Source organism: Homo sapiens, chromosome 6 (genome assembly GCF_000001405.40).
Source record: "Homo sapiens chromosome 6, GRCh38.p14 Primary Assembly".
NCBI lineage: Eukaryota > Metazoa > Chordata > Mammalia > Primates > Hominidae > Homo > Homo sapiens.
In genome coordinates, this window is record NC_000006.12 from 21,357,689 (window position 1) to 21,372,139 (window position 14,451).

At 46.8% G+C, this 14,451-nt stretch overlaps 5 annotated features.

The window, feature by feature from the left end:
• Window positions 3,312-4,127: an enhancer, noted in NCBI's record as "OCT4-NANOG-H3K27ac-H3K4me1 hESC enhancer chr6:21361231-21362046 (GRCh37/hg19 assembly coordinates)". NCBI's record gives its function as "activates a minimal SCP1, AML or CMV promoter by ChIP-STARR-seq in naive H9 embryonic stem cells {active_cell/tissue: H9 hESC(naive)}" and the evidence as "EXISTENCE:reporter gene assay evidence [ECO:0000049][PMID:30033119]".
• Window positions 4,128-4,942: an enhancer, noted in NCBI's record as "OCT4-NANOG-H3K27ac hESC enhancer chr6:21362047-21362861 (GRCh37/hg19 assembly coordinates)". NCBI's record gives its function as "activates a minimal SCP1, AML or CMV promoter by ChIP-STARR-seq in naive H9 embryonic stem cells {active_cell/tissue: H9 hESC(naive)}" and the evidence as "EXISTENCE:reporter gene assay evidence [ECO:0000049][PMID:30033119]".
• Window positions 9,219-9,770: an enhancer, noted in NCBI's record as "OCT4-NANOG-H3K27ac-H3K4me1 hESC enhancer chr6:21367138-21367689 (GRCh37/hg19 assembly coordinates)". NCBI's record gives its function as "activates a minimal SCP1, AML or CMV promoter by ChIP-STARR-seq in naive and primed H9 embryonic stem cells {active_cell/tissue: H9 hESC(naive and primed)}" and the evidence as "EXISTENCE:reporter gene assay evidence [ECO:0000049][PMID:30033119]".
• Window positions 9,771-10,323: an enhancer, noted in NCBI's record as "NANOG-H3K27ac-H3K4me1 hESC enhancer chr6:21367690-21368242 (GRCh37/hg19 assembly coordinates)". NCBI's record gives its function as "activates a minimal SCP1, AML or CMV promoter by ChIP-STARR-seq in naive H9 embryonic stem cells {active_cell/tissue: H9 hESC(naive)}" and the evidence as "EXISTENCE:reporter gene assay evidence [ECO:0000049][PMID:30033119]".
• Window positions 10,324-10,874: an enhancer, noted in NCBI's record as "NANOG-H3K27ac-H3K4me1 hESC enhancer chr6:21368243-21368793 (GRCh37/hg19 assembly coordinates)". NCBI's record gives its function as "activates a minimal SCP1, AML or CMV promoter by ChIP-STARR-seq in naive H9 embryonic stem cells {active_cell/tissue: H9 hESC(naive)}" and the evidence as "EXISTENCE:reporter gene assay evidence [ECO:0000049][PMID:30033119]".

The following is a 14,451-nucleotide window of genomic DNA, read 5'->3' on the forward strand; positions in this document are numbered from 1 at the left end:
TTACAAGCCCTGATCACTGTCAATATTAGTGGGGACACTGTAGGCTGCACACAGCTGCTCTAGTCCTTTCATGGTGGTTTTTCCGGGTAGCATGCTTGCTGGGATATGCCTGCAGCTGCCCCGTGCAGGTGTCTGCACAGTCAAGGCATAGTGGCAGCCATCAGAAGCAAAGGCCCTATGTAGTCACCTGCCACTGTTGCACTGGGCTCCAGCCCCTGACCATCTTTTAGGTATCAGGCAGCCAGGGCCTGGGGCGTTCAGGCCAGGTAGGACATTGCTGACAGACATGTACTATATCTTTATATCATAGTGGCAGGCCCCAGTTCTTCACTATGGCTCAAAGAGTACATTGTCCCCGATATCTTGTTTTCTCAGGTAGCCACGGGGACTTCCTCAAGGAGACAAATGCAGGCGAGCCCATCCACCCGTGGGTTTCTAGGTGGTGTAGGTGGAGTGTGGGCATCCACGTGGTAGGCCGCTATGTGCATCCCCGGATGCAATGGAGAATGTCCTTCCACATGTCAGCACCCCAGAGGGGGTAACCCACTACTGTCCACATCCTGGGCTTCCCACTGTAGTAGCCACATGGTGAGTCCCTTAAAGATGGCCCAACTGCAGGCCGGGCACAGTGGCTGATGCCTGTAATCCCAGCACTTTGGGAGGCCGAGGCAGGTGGATCATGAGGTCGGGAGATCGAGACCATCCTGGCTAACATGGTGAAACCCCGTCTCTACTAAAAATACAAAAAAATTAGCCGGGCGAGGTGGCAGGCACCTGTAGTCCCAGCTAACCGGGAGGCTGAGGCAGAAGAATGGCATGAACCCGGGAGGCGGAGCTTGCGCTGAGCTGAGATCATGCCACTGCACTCCAGCCTGGGCAACAGAGCGAGACTCTGTCTCAAAACAAAAAACAACAAACAAACAAACAAAAAAGACAGCCCAACTGGGCTGAGCGCAGTGGCTAACGCCTGTAATCCCAGCACTTTGGGAGGCTGAGGCAGGCGGATCACAAGGTCAGGAGTTCGAGACCAGCCTGGCCAGTATGGTGAAACCCCATCTCTACTAAAAATCCAAAAATTAGCCAGGAATGGTGGCGGGCACCTGTAGTCCCAGCTACTTGGGAGGCTGAGGCAGGAGAATCACTTGAACTGGGGAGGTGGAGGTTGCAGTGAGCCGAGATCGCGCCACTGCACTCCAGCCTAGGCGACAGAGCAAGACTCCATCTCAAAAAAAAAAAAAAAAAGATAGCCCAACTATGGGTGCACAGGACTATTGGGTCTGGCTCATGGAGTGGGACTGTCCAAGCAGCTGGCAGCTCAGCCCATTGGCTACTATGTCCTTTGCCTGTACCAAGCCAGATGCTCTCAGTGGACGGCTGGATGGCCACAGCTGTCCAAGTGCAAGGATTTTCTCGTGATGAGTGGTCTGTGTACCAGGCCTGGTAGGAGTTGGGCCCTTTTCCTCCTGTACGAGGAAGGGAATCTCTGTAGGTTTAGTGGCCTCTATCAAAGACTGCCCTTCAGTTGTCACATCGATGACAGGGCCAAGCACCAAATGGAACTCTGCGCTCAAAAGGCTATTAGTCAATGTGCTTCTCTGTTAAAGGCAGTGATGCCATTTAGCCATAGGCTATGTCTGGCCATTCCCAGACTTGGGTTTCTGGAAGATATCCTTCAGCCAACCTGCTATGGGGCACTGGGTGCGTACTAGCACAGGGACCTCCTTTAACATCCTCCACTCATTGTCAGGCAGAGTTGCATAGAGCATGCAGCACAGAGTTGTTGCTCCAGATGCTATACCTAATTTCAGCTCCCTGCCACAGTTGGGACCAGAATCCTAAAGGCACGTGTTTATGTCTTTGCCTTTACCCCAGGCCCCACCCAAACCCCTCAGGGTAACTGGCTACAAATTCACGAGGCTGTCCCTGCACTAGAACTACCAAGGCTCATATTCATTTCACTGCAACTTTATCTTGTTTCTAGGCCTCATCCTCCCCTTGTGGGCCAGTCCCCATGGCCCCTCTTCTTAATTAAGCAGTACGGGGGCTAAGGATTTGGGCCAAATGGGGAATAAAAAGACACCCATGCCCTGGAAGGCCTGAGAAGGTTTGCAGCTGCTTTGGTATGGTAGGACGTGGGTAGACCTGCACCTTATCCACAATGGCAGATGGAACAACTTTAGTCTTAGCTGACCAGAGGACACCCAAGTATTTGACTGACAAGCCTGGACCCTGGAGTTTGTCTCTGTTGACTGCCCATCCTGTTTTCCAAGTGAGACAGCAAGGTGGTGGCTGCAGTTTGCTGGAGGAAGACTCAGAAGTTAGCATGAAATCACCAATGTAATGGAAAACATGTACCCCCTCCTGGGCAGTTCATATACCAAGATCCTCAGCCACTAGGCAGGGACAGAGTGGGGCTAGGCAAATATCCCTAGGGCAGACAGTAAAGGTCCATTGTTCTCCTTTCCAGGTAAATGCAAATTGGTCTTGACTCTCTGGTGCAATGGGGTTGCTGAAGAAGGTGTTGGCTACATCGGTAACAAAATGGTATGTGTCCAGCATCTCTCCTACCCTCATCAGAAAGGAGGCGATATTGGGAACAGCTGCACACATTTAATTCTCAGTAATCTACTGTCATTCTCCATGTACCATCAGGTTTCTGTATGGGCCATACAGGGCTGTTGCATGGGCTGTGCGCTGGCCTTATGATGCCTACCCGGGCTAACTCCCCCGTGGTCCTCGTGGTTTCATCCTGCCTCTCTCCCCACCAGCAGGCGGTGTTGCTCCAGTGCTACTACTCACTGCTTTTGCATTCCCCTCCCCGCCCATCACATGCTTCACCACTCTAACTGTCATTTGGAATTCCCCAGCAGTTGTTTGGAGGGTCAAGCCTGATAAGATATCCATTCCCAAGATATATTCTGGGATGGGAGCTATGTATATCAACAAAGTTTTGGTGGCAGTCTCCCAACTTGTAAAACTAGTTCAACCTGTCTGACTTCCATGGCCTCTTTCCATAACCATCTATTGCTGACATAGGCCCTTGGAACCAATGGGAGTTGCCATATATGAGGGTGCATCCAGCTCCAGTATCCACTAGGGCACGCAATCTGGTTCAATTCTTAAGTGACCAATATATAATTAGTTCTACTTGTGGCCTCTGGTTCCCCCAGACACCCTGGCCACCATTGCTCTGATTGGGATTTCAGGGCTTTGGCCTTCATCCTAATCTGAAGGGGCCGGCACTTGCCGTTGCTCTGTGGGAGGAAGGGGCAGTGGGCTGAACCTGAGGCTCCTCAGTAAAGTGCTGTTCTGGTTTGAGCTTCTGCCACAGTCCAACCAGAACAGCAGTGGGCTGTTTATCTGTTTTCACAGTAGGTGTCTCTGCCACTACCGGGTCACCCCACATTTGTCAGCAGGTCACCCAGATAGGCCCCTTGGCTGTCTCCTTTCCTTTTATAACCAGGTTGGTTATACAGCTGTCCAAGTGTCTACATCAAATTCTAACTTGATCTGCCTCCTTTCACTCCCCTTTTAGCCAGGGGATCCATTCCCTGTCCTTCCCTAGGGTAACATTCTCACTATCCATGATAAGGGACAACTACCTGAACAAGCTGGAAATAGTGAAGAACACCTTTAGCTCAACGCTTCTCAACACTGACTTCAAAGTAGAGTTAAATTAGATTTTCAATGTAGAGACCCATGTCCCCCCACCACCCGCAAATTTGGACTCGACTGGTATGGAGAAGCGTTGTGTATTGAATTTGGATGAAAGCATAGCCCAGGTGATTCTAATGTACAGCCTTTCATGCGCGTCCGTGTGAAGAGACCACCAAACAGGCTTTGTGTGAGCAACATGGCTGTTTATTTCACCTGGGTGCAGGCGGGCTGAGTCTGAAAAGAGAGTCAGCGAAGGGAGATAAGGGTGGGGCCGTTTTATAGGATTTGGGTAGGTAAAGGAAAATTACAGTCAAAGGGGGTTTGTTCTCTGGCGGGCAGGAGTGGGGGTCGCAAGGTGCTCAGTGGGGGTGATTTTTGAGCCAGGATGAGCCAGGAGAAGGACTTTCACAAGGTAATGTCATCACTTAAGGCAAGGACCGGCCATTTACACTTCTTTTGTGGTGGAATGTCATCAGTTAAGGTGGGGCAGGGCATTTTCACTTCTTTTGTGATTCTTCGGTTACTTCAGGCCATCTGGGCATATACGTGCAAGTCACAGGAGATGCGATGGCTTGGCTTGGGCTCAGAGGCCTGACATTCCTGCCTTCTTATATTAATAAGAAAAATAAAACAAAATGGTGTTGAAGTGTTGGGGCGGCGAACATTTTTGGGGGGTGGTATGGAGAGAGAATGGGCGATGTTTTTCAGGGCAGCTTCGAGAGGGATTGGGGCGGCGTGGGAACCTAGAGTGGGAGAGATTAAGCTGAAGGGAGGTCTTGTGGTAAGGGGTGATATTGTGGGGATGTTAGAAGAAACATTTGTCATATAGAATGATTGGTGATGGGCTGGATACGGTTTTGGATGAATTGAGAAACTAAATGGAATAACAGAAGGAGAAAAACAGGTATAAAAGGTCTAAGAATTGGGATGACTCAGGATATCTGATTAGAGAGTGCCTAAGGAGATTCAGCATAGTCCTGCCAGCAAAGATTATTTATTTACTTCAAGAGTTAAGAGTGGCAGTTTGGGGATAGCACCAGGAGATATCAGCTGTGATGGCTTGGAAAAACAGTGTAAACCGGCAGTGTAAACAAGAGCAGGGCATGTATGAGTAGTTGAGAACGGTGAATAGGAGTATGACTAGACAGAAGATAGTAGGGATGACAAGTTTTTTTGGGGCACAGTCTAAGTTGGTCTGGTGTCTGGAATGAGACTGGGGCCTAATAAAAAGGAGCGTCTATACAGGAGCTCAAATGGGCTGTACTCTGTAGCATTCCGAGGACAGGCCTGAATTCTGAGAAGGGAAAGTGGTAAAAGTATTGTCCAGTCCTTTTTAAATTGGTGGCTGAGCTTGTGAGGTGTGTTTTTAAAAGACCTTTAGTCCATTCTACTTTCCTTGAAGACGGAGGACTGTAAGGGATATAAAGGTTTCACTGAATACTAAGAGCCTGAAAAACTGCTTGGCTGATTTGACTAATAAAGGCTCGTCTTTTATCAGACTGTATTGAGGTGGGAAGGCTAAACTGAGGAATTATGTCTGACAGAAGGGAAGAAATGACTGTGGTGGCCTTCTCAGACCCTGTAGGAAAGGCTTCTACCTATCCAGTGAAAGTATCTACCTAGACTAAGAGGTATTTTAATTATCTGACTCCGGGCATGTTGAGTAAAGCTAATTTGCCAGTCCTAGGTGGGGCAAATCCTCGAGCTTGATGTGTAGGGAAGGGAGGGGGCCTGAATAATCCCTGAGGAGTAGTAGAATAGCAGATGGAACACTGAGAAGTTATTTCCTTGAGGATAGATTTCCACGACGGAAAGGAAATGAGAGGTTCTAAGAGGCGGGCTAGTGGCTTGTACTATAGCATAACCTGCCTTTGCTGGTGTGTGGCGATTAGGCCTGGTGGAACCGCCATCAATAAATCAAGCGTGATCAGGGTGAGGAACAGGAAAGAAGGAAATGTGGGGAAATGGGGTGAATGTCAGGTGGATCAGAGAGATACAGTCATGGGGGTCAGGTGTGGTATCAGGAATAATGTGGGAGGCCGGATTGAAGTCCGGGCCAGGAACAATGGTAATTGCGGGAGACTCAACGAAGAGTGAGTACAGCTGAAGGAGCCGGGGAGCAGAAAGTATATGCGTCAGGTATGAGGAAGAAAATAGATTTTGGAAGTTATGAGAACTGTAGAGAGTGAGTTGAGTATAGTTTGTGATTTTGAGGGCCTCTAAAAGTATTAATGCAGCAGCAGCCGCTGCACGCAGACATGAGGGCTAGGCTGAAACAGTAAGGTCAAGTTGTTTGGACAGAAAGGCTACAGGGTGTGGTCCTGGCTCTTGTGTAAGAATTCTGACTACGCTAACCATGCCTAGGAAGGAAAGGAGTTGTTGTTTTGTAGAAGGTGCTGGGGTTTGAGAGATCAGTCGGACACGATTGGCAGGGAGAGCACGTGTGTTTTTATGAGAATTATGCCGAGATAGGTAACAGATGAGGAAGAAATTTGGGCTTGATTGAAGTAATGGGGGCTGTCTGTGAAGCTTTGCAGCAGTAAAGCCTAGGTAATTTGCTGAGCTTGATGGGTGTCAGGGTCAGTCCAGGTGAAAGTGAGGAGAGGCTGGGATTAAGGGTGCAAAGGAATAGTAAAGAAAGCATGTTTGAGATCTAGAACAGAATAATGGGTTATAGAGGCAGGTACTGAGGATAGGAGAGTATATGGGTTTGGCACCATGGGGTGGATAGGCAAAACAATTTGGTTGATAAGGCGCAGATCCTGAACTAGTAAGGCTTGTCTGGTTTTAGGACACGTAAAATGGGGGAATTGTAAGGAGAGTTTATAGGCTTTAAAAGGCCATGCTGTAGCAGGCGAGTGATAACAGGCTTTAATCTTTTTAAAGTGTGCTGCGGGATGGGATATTGGCGTTGAGTGGGGTAAGGGTGATTAGGTTTTAATGAGATGGTAAGGGGTGCATGATCGGTTGCCAAGGAGGGAGTAGAGGTATCTTATACTTGTGGGTTAAGGTGGGGGGATACAAGAGGAGGACGCAAAGGAGGCTTTGGATTGGGAAGAAGGGCGGCAATGAGATATAGCTGTAGTCCAGGAATAGTCAGGGAAGCAGATAATTTAGTTAAAGTGTCTCAGCCTAATAAGGGAACTGGGCAGGTGGGGATAACTAAAAAGGAGTGCTTAAAAGAGTATTGTCTAAGTTGGCACCAGAGGTGGGGAGTTCTAAGAGGTTTAGAAGCCTGGCCATCAATACCCACAACAGTTATGGAGGCAAGGGAAACAGGCCCTTGAAAAGAAGGTAATGTGGAGTGGGTAGCCTCCGTATTGATTAAGAAGGGGACGGCCTTACCTTCCACTGTGAGAGTTACCGGAAGCTCGGCGTCCATGATGGTCTATGGGGCTTCCGAGGCGATCGGGCTGTGTCAGTCTTCAGCCGCTAAGCCAAGAAGATCTGGGAAGGAGTCAGTCAGAGAGCCTTGGGCCAGAGTTCCAGGGGCTCTGGGAGTGGCTGCCAGGTGAGTTGAACAGTCTGATTTTCAGTGGGGTCCCACACAGATGGGACGTGGCTTAGGAGGAATCCCGGGCTGTGGGCATTCCTTGGCCCAGTGGCCAGATTTCTGGCACATGTAGCAAGCTCCTGTGGGAGGAGGTTCTGGAGGAACGCCTGGCCGCTGCGGTTCAGGCATTTGGAAGTTCTTGTGTGCTGGAGATGTGGCTGGGGTTTGTCTCACAGTGGAGGCAAGGAATTGCAACTTTTTTCTATTATTGTACACCTTGAAGGCGAGGTTAATTAAATCCTGTTGTGGGGTTTGAGGGCTGGAATTTAATTTTTGGAGTTTTATTTAATGTCGGGAGCAGATTGGGTAATAAAATGTATTTTGAGAATAAGACGGCCTTTTGACCTTTTAGGGTCTAGGGCTGTAAAGTGTCTCAGGGTTGCTGCCAAACGAGTCATGAACTGGGCTGGATTTTTATATTTGATGAAAAAGAGCCTAAACGCCATCTGATTTGGGATAAAGAAAAAGGAGCATTAACCTTGATTAAGCCTTTAGCTCCAGCTACCTTTTTAAGAGTAAATTGCTGGGCGGGTGGGGGAGGGCTAGTCACAGAGGACACTGTAAGCTTGACCAGGTGTGAGGAGGGGAGGCAATAAAAAAATTATAGGGTGGAGGAGCGGAGGCTGAGGAAGAATTGGGACCTAGCTTGGCCTGGCGAGGAGGGGAGAGGTCAGATGAGTCTGTAGAAAAGGAAGATTAGAAAGACTCAGGGACGCTTGGGGTTGGGACTGAGGGGACAGGCGGGAGGGAAAGAAGGAAGATTTGGGACGAGTTGCACTGGGCACAGAGACTAGGAAGGGACTGATGTGTAAAAGAATGCCTGGACATTAGGCACCTCAGACCATTTGCCTATTTTGCAACAAGAATTATTTAGACCTTGCAGGATGGAAAAATTCAAAGTGCCATTTTCTGGCTATTTGGAACTACTGTTGAGTTTGTATTGGGGTCAAGCAGCATTGCAGAAGAAAATAAGGCATTTAGGTTTTAGGTCAGGTGTGAGTTGAAGAGGTTTTAAGTTTTTGAGAACACAGGCCAAGGGAGTAGAAGGGGGAATGGAGGGTGGAAGGTTGCCTATAGTGAAGGAAGCAAGCCTAGAGAAAAGAGAGAGTAGAGAAACGGAGGGAAGGGGTTCGGGGGTTCTTACCTTCCAGAAAAGTGGGAAGAGGGGTTGGGGCGCAGAGATAAGAGGTCGGGGCATGGAAATAAGGGATGGGGTGCAGAAATAAGGGGTTGGGGCATGGAAATAAGGGGTCGGGGCACGGAAATAAGGGATTGGGGTGCAGAGATACAAGGTTGGGGTGTGGAAATAAGGGATTGGGGGTTCTTGCCCCCTAGAAAAGCGGGACTTGCCTCTAAGGGTGAAGGAGAAGGGGTTGAGGGGTACTTGCCCCTGCCCCAGGAAAGCAGAGAAGGGGTAGAGACAAGGAGAGAAGGGGTTGGGGTACTTGCCCCTTCCCCAGAAAAGCAGGACTTGCCGCTAAGGGTGAAGTACCAAGGCAGGCATCCCTGCGTGGTCTGACACCTTTGAAATGTGGTTGAATAATCAGAGAGGCGTCCTTGCAATGATTAAACACCAAGGGAAGGCTGCCTTCCCAGTCCGTGACCGGCGCCGGAGTTTTGGGTTGACAGATAATATGTGTCTCCTTTGTCTCTCCCAGAAAATGAAAGGAATTGAAATTCAGAGAAGGGAGAGATTGAAGAGTGGAAAGAAGAAAGTGGTTGAGGGACAGTGAGAGAGGTTGGAGAAGAGAGTAAGAAGAGGCCGCTTACCTGATTTAAAATTGGTGAGATGTTTCTTGGGCTGGTTGGTCTGAGGACCTGAGGTCGTAGGTGGATCCTTCTCATGGAGCAAAGAACAGGAGGACAGGGGATTGATCTCCCAAGGGAGGTCCCCCGATCCGAGTCATGGCACCAAATTTCATGCGCGTCCGTGTGAAGAGACCACCAAACAGGCTTTGTGTGAGCAACATGGCTGTTTATTTCACCTGGGTGCAGGCGGGCTGAGTCCGAAAAGAGAGTCAGCGAAGGGAGATAAGGGTGGGGCCGTTTTATAGGATTTGGGTAGGTAAAGGAAAATTACAGTCAAAGGGGGTTTGTTCTCTGGCGGGCAGGAGTGGGGGTCGCAAGGTGCTCAGTGCGGGTGCTTTTTGAGCCAGGAAAAGGACTTTCACAAGGTAATGTCATCACTTAAGGCAAGGACCGGCCATTTACACTTCTTTTGTGGTGGAATGTCATCAGTTAAGGTGGGGCAGGCCATATTCACTTCTTTTGTGATTCTTCGGTTACTTCAGGCCATCTGGGCGTATACGTGCAAGTCACAGGAGATGCGATGGCTTGGCTTGGGCTCAGAGGCCTGACACAGCCAGGGCTGAGAACCACTGTTAGCTGAATCTGTGTCTGGGTTCTGTGAAAGGTTTATCTTATGTTTCTATTGTATTGACTTCTACTGAGCTGACCCTGAATTGACTCTCTTATTTGCCTGGGCTCTGACCTTTGAAAATTATCTTCTTTCCAGGGACTCCCAACCTACTGCTAGCTTAGTCTCTGAAGTGTGCATTCCCATAGTCTTCTTGAATATGAGTCTTCCTGGAGAAAACTCCTGTCAAGTCAAGAAGTGTTTCAGTAGAACCTTTGCTTCTGGTGACTAGGACTTAATCTTCTGGTTCTTTCTTTAGTCTCTGGCTTTGAGACACTAAACAAAGAGAACGCATGGCCGTGGAAGCATCTGGGATCACAGCCCCAAGGCCATAACAACATGTCTTTGGGGTTCATGTCATTGCCATGCCTCCTTGAGCTGGAGATCCAAGAGGGGCTGGAAGGCGAGTGTGGTTTGAAAGGCCCACCAGCTTGGCCAGTGCTCTGATTAGAGAACATTGTACACTTTTGTACACTTTGTACATCTTTGTGTACCTTTTACAAACAAGTATACAGACAGGGTGAGCAGAGTTCACACTTTGCCTTAGTGAAATGCACTGTGACATGAAGCATATTTTTACTCTGGAATGTTTAGTCTCTAACATGGGACTCCTGTGTGTTGCCTAAACTTGTTCGTCATTTCATGATTAAGGAAACAGGAAGGACAGTGTGTGGCTTCCAGAGTCTAGAAACAAGGTAGAGCTCCCATAAGGTTTCATGGGAGCTCACTTTCCCTGCTTTGTGTCTGTAACTCTGAGGCATGGGCTGTTCACTGTCACAGTCAAAACAACAACAACAAAAAGCGAGAACTTTCCACCTCTCAATAGCTTTGGTTAAAATCTCCAGGAGTCCTGATCTCTTGCAAGTGAGAGAGTAAAGAAAAAGTTTAGAAGTTGTGAACTCTTCCTTTGAAATTCTCATTTGCCTTTCAATGTACTCTTTTGCCTTAAACAGGAAAGCCACCTATATTGCTCAAAGCCAGGGCTGAGAGGGAGAGATTTTCAGGTCTGCAAAGCTAAGTTGATGTTTTCAGAAGATGATTTTCTCTTCCTTCTTAAATGTGTTTGTGATGTAGAAAGATGGCTGTCTAGAGCTCAGATTCTGTGATTTGATGTATTACCCCTGGATTACAATGTGAAATACAGCTTTAAAAACCTAGATACATATGGCAGTATATGGATAATACAAACAAAAACCATACAAAATCAACCAACCCACAAACAAAAACCCCAACTCCCAAATAGACTTATAAGTGAAGTTGTCCTCAAAAGTTATTGAATTGAATATTTGCTAAGTTAGCTAGAACTATTATTTAAAGTAGTTTTATTCATTAAATGACATTTTGTTGATTATGCGAAGGACCCATAGAATTTAACAACAGTTTTCCGGCCCCTTTCTAGTACTGACAGTGGCGCTAATTTTTCAAGAAACTGGAATAGGGATTTAAAGTAAAATGTGGGTTTCGGCTGCCTAGTGAAATTCAATGAAATCAATAGGAAGCTCCTGTATTTGCATTCTTAGGGCTGGAAGTAGGAGGTGTCGATGCACATACATTTCCCAGTAATGCAACTTCAAAACGGGCTTCTTAATGGGAGATAATCAACTGCAATGCAACTTTAATGAACTCTGATGTTGGAATGCAAACCCAATCCAATATCCCATGGAAAATTAACCCAATCAATAGTCTAATTCAAAGCTTTAAGCTTGTAAACAATTACTACACTGACCAAGTCTGCCTTTTCAGATGTTCACCCACGGAGGTGGCCATCCTTCTCAGGGTTACCGCCTCCCGCGGCATGGCATAGTGTTGGCTAACTGCTTCCACTGTCATCCTTAACAAGAATGCTATTGAGCTTATTAAAAAACTCATCTGAGTTCAAGTAAAAGAAGAAGAGAGGGAAAGCCCTTCTCAGCCTGCCTCAACTCCAGTTTTATTAGGCATTCATCTCTCCATAGAACAGCTCCCTCGGTCCTTCATTCAAGCCTTGGGCAGCCTTTCTTACTTTCCTCGAACCCTAATGAATCTCTCTTGGCCCCTCTGCCTCAGAAAATGGGGCTATTTGTTCTGTATTTACCCTTCCAAGTGGGACTCCCTTCCACGGTTCCATGGCCTCTTATCCTTCCTTCAAAGGTCCCTGAAGAAGAGGGCCAGCTTCAGAGTACTCTTCCTTGTGGTATAAAGCTACTTCCTGTGTTCACTTCCCACCATGCGTTTTTAGGCGTGTTCTGCAATCAGTGGGTCTCAGATGTTTTTCTGGCTCTTTTCTTGATGAAGCTCCTTGGTGCCCAGGTAAAGCAGGCAGTTGAATACGTAGGTCTGAACCTCAGGAGAGACCTCACAGCTGGAGACGTGGGTTTTGACCATCCCCATGGAGTCATTAATTGACATCATAGCAGAGGGTGAGATGTCAGCTAAGGAGATGGAAAATAGGAATAAATTTCCGCAAGACTCTAAATCCTCTGGAAGGTGTGGACAAGCTCCGTGAAGTCTGCTCTCCTGCATGTGGGAGAGAGAAAAGAGAGAGAGAGAGAGAGATGTATAGCAATTAAGAACCCATGCCATGCAGAGAATGCTTAGAAAAAGCACAGGAAAAGAATGTGGTACAGCTTTTCCTTCATTAATGAGGAATACAGGTTATGATGCCTTTTGAAGGGTGTTTTGGAAGCAAACAAGGCCTTCTGTAGCAGTTAATTTATAAAGCTTTATAGACTTCATATTGAACAACTGTACTTAGCATAAATGCATATAGAGATGAAGACTAGGCGATACCGGCCTTATAACAATAAGGGGTCATTGCAGCTCAGTAGGTGCGGTTTGTGGTTCACAAGCCACATATGATGTATACTCTAGGATCCAGACTTGAGATGAAGGGAGACCTTCCCAAGCCACACTAGTTAATGGTTAGCCCCTCCCGACTCCCAGTTCCTCAGAGAAAAAGAATTGGAGGTGTGTTTCAAAACCCACCATGTAGACTTTATAGTTCGTTTTGTGTAAGTAATCACAGTATGCATAGTAAATTGAATCTGGGTTGCCAGACTTAACAAAGAAAAATATAATATCAAATGCCCAGTGAAATTTGAATTTCTGATAAACAATGAATAATTATTTTAGATGTAAGTACATCCCATGCAATATCCATCCTGTATTTTATCGACAATCTCAAACTGAATCATTAGAGGGTCATATTCAATGTATTGTTATACTCATAAGGGCCCAAGGTAAAGGCCCTCTATTTTCATTTGAATTGATTCAGTGTCCTCAATAGCTCCACCATACACTGTTTCTCCAATTTCTGTATACAAAACTCAATACCCCTGTATACCTATGGCTTAAAGGAACACTCTAGATTTTTACCTCCAAAGTCCGCTAGATGCTTCATGTGCTTTTCTTTTTTTTTTTTTCTCTTCCCTCCCCCAGTCTCCCACTGCCTTTTCAGACAGTCCCTTGCTTCCCCAGGTGAGCCTCCTTTCATCAGTAGATTTCCTCTGTTTCACACCCACAGCTGGGAATCAGCCTTGCCACTTCCAAATTGTAGGTGACTTCAAGGATCGTGGCCAAGATAGTCCCCTGAACCCTACTTACCCGGTGAGCAGGACAGATCTGATAGATCCTCCCTAACTAGTCAAGTCCAGAATTCATGCCCACAGCAGTCAAGGCCAGGAGAGAAGTTGCTCTTCCAGAACACAGTCTCATGAGGGCTGAGTTCTACAAGATTTTTCACAGTGATGGAGGCTTGGACTCCACCTGGTGGGTTGTGAAGAGCCAGTTCTTAGTGATCTCGTGGTTAAAGCAGAGGCCTGCACCCTGGGTGAAACCATTTTACACTATTTTATTTTATAAACACTAGGAAGGAGGGGGTTGCACATTTTTCTCAGGAGCTCTAGACTGAAGCTCCAAGCCTAATTCCAAAGAACCTTTTCATATTTATTCACCCTGAAATAAGAGATTTTAATTTGAGCTGACAATCTGACATTTCATTAGAATTAAAATCATGTAAAATCAATTCATGTTACCAGGATTGTTTATTACAGAGAAGGAATGAAAAAAAAAAAAAAATAGCCCAACAGTGGCAGATCTCACTAGTGGTTATATAGACAAGACAGCTTTCTTTGCTACTGATGTAACAAATCCACCTGGTACCTCTGAAACCTCTCTCCTTGGTCATCTCCATGATGTTATCTCCACATTTATTGTGACCTGGAACCCTTGGAGTACTGTTTCTGGTCCTTAGAGGCACTTTTACCCCTGCCCAGGCTGGCAGTGATAGATGCCATGTCTTATTCAACCAGAGGTTATTTCAACCAGAGTTCTGCTAAACTATTCTACCAGTTTGGTACCTGGGTATAGTTTCTGCAGTGGCTCAGGATGGGTTAGATCCAGGCAGGATTAGGGCAAGCTCCAGGAACCACTCCCAGCTAGTTAAAACATTATTTCCATGTGAGCTAATGCCATTCCTACGGCTTTTCATGGAAACAGCTCAGCATTATCTAGCAACATCTGGAATGACTCCCCCTGCACCCCACCAAGTGTGAACACTGTGGGAGACTTTTACTTCTGGTGACCCTTTGCCCTGTAGATGTGAAGATCACTGTGACTGCATTTATCCATGTGGACAAATGAGTTCGTACGTGTAAAAATCTTTGAGGCTGAGGCCAAACAAGGCCCCTTTCAGAAACGCAGACTTTTCCCACCCTTCATTCCTCGTAGCTCACAGCTATTTTTACAGCAGTGCTAGAGTCTGAAGTTTTGGGAAGAAGCCAAATATTTTGGGTGTGTCTGTACAAACTCGAAGATCTTTGGAAAAAAACAGCAAAACAATTTTCTT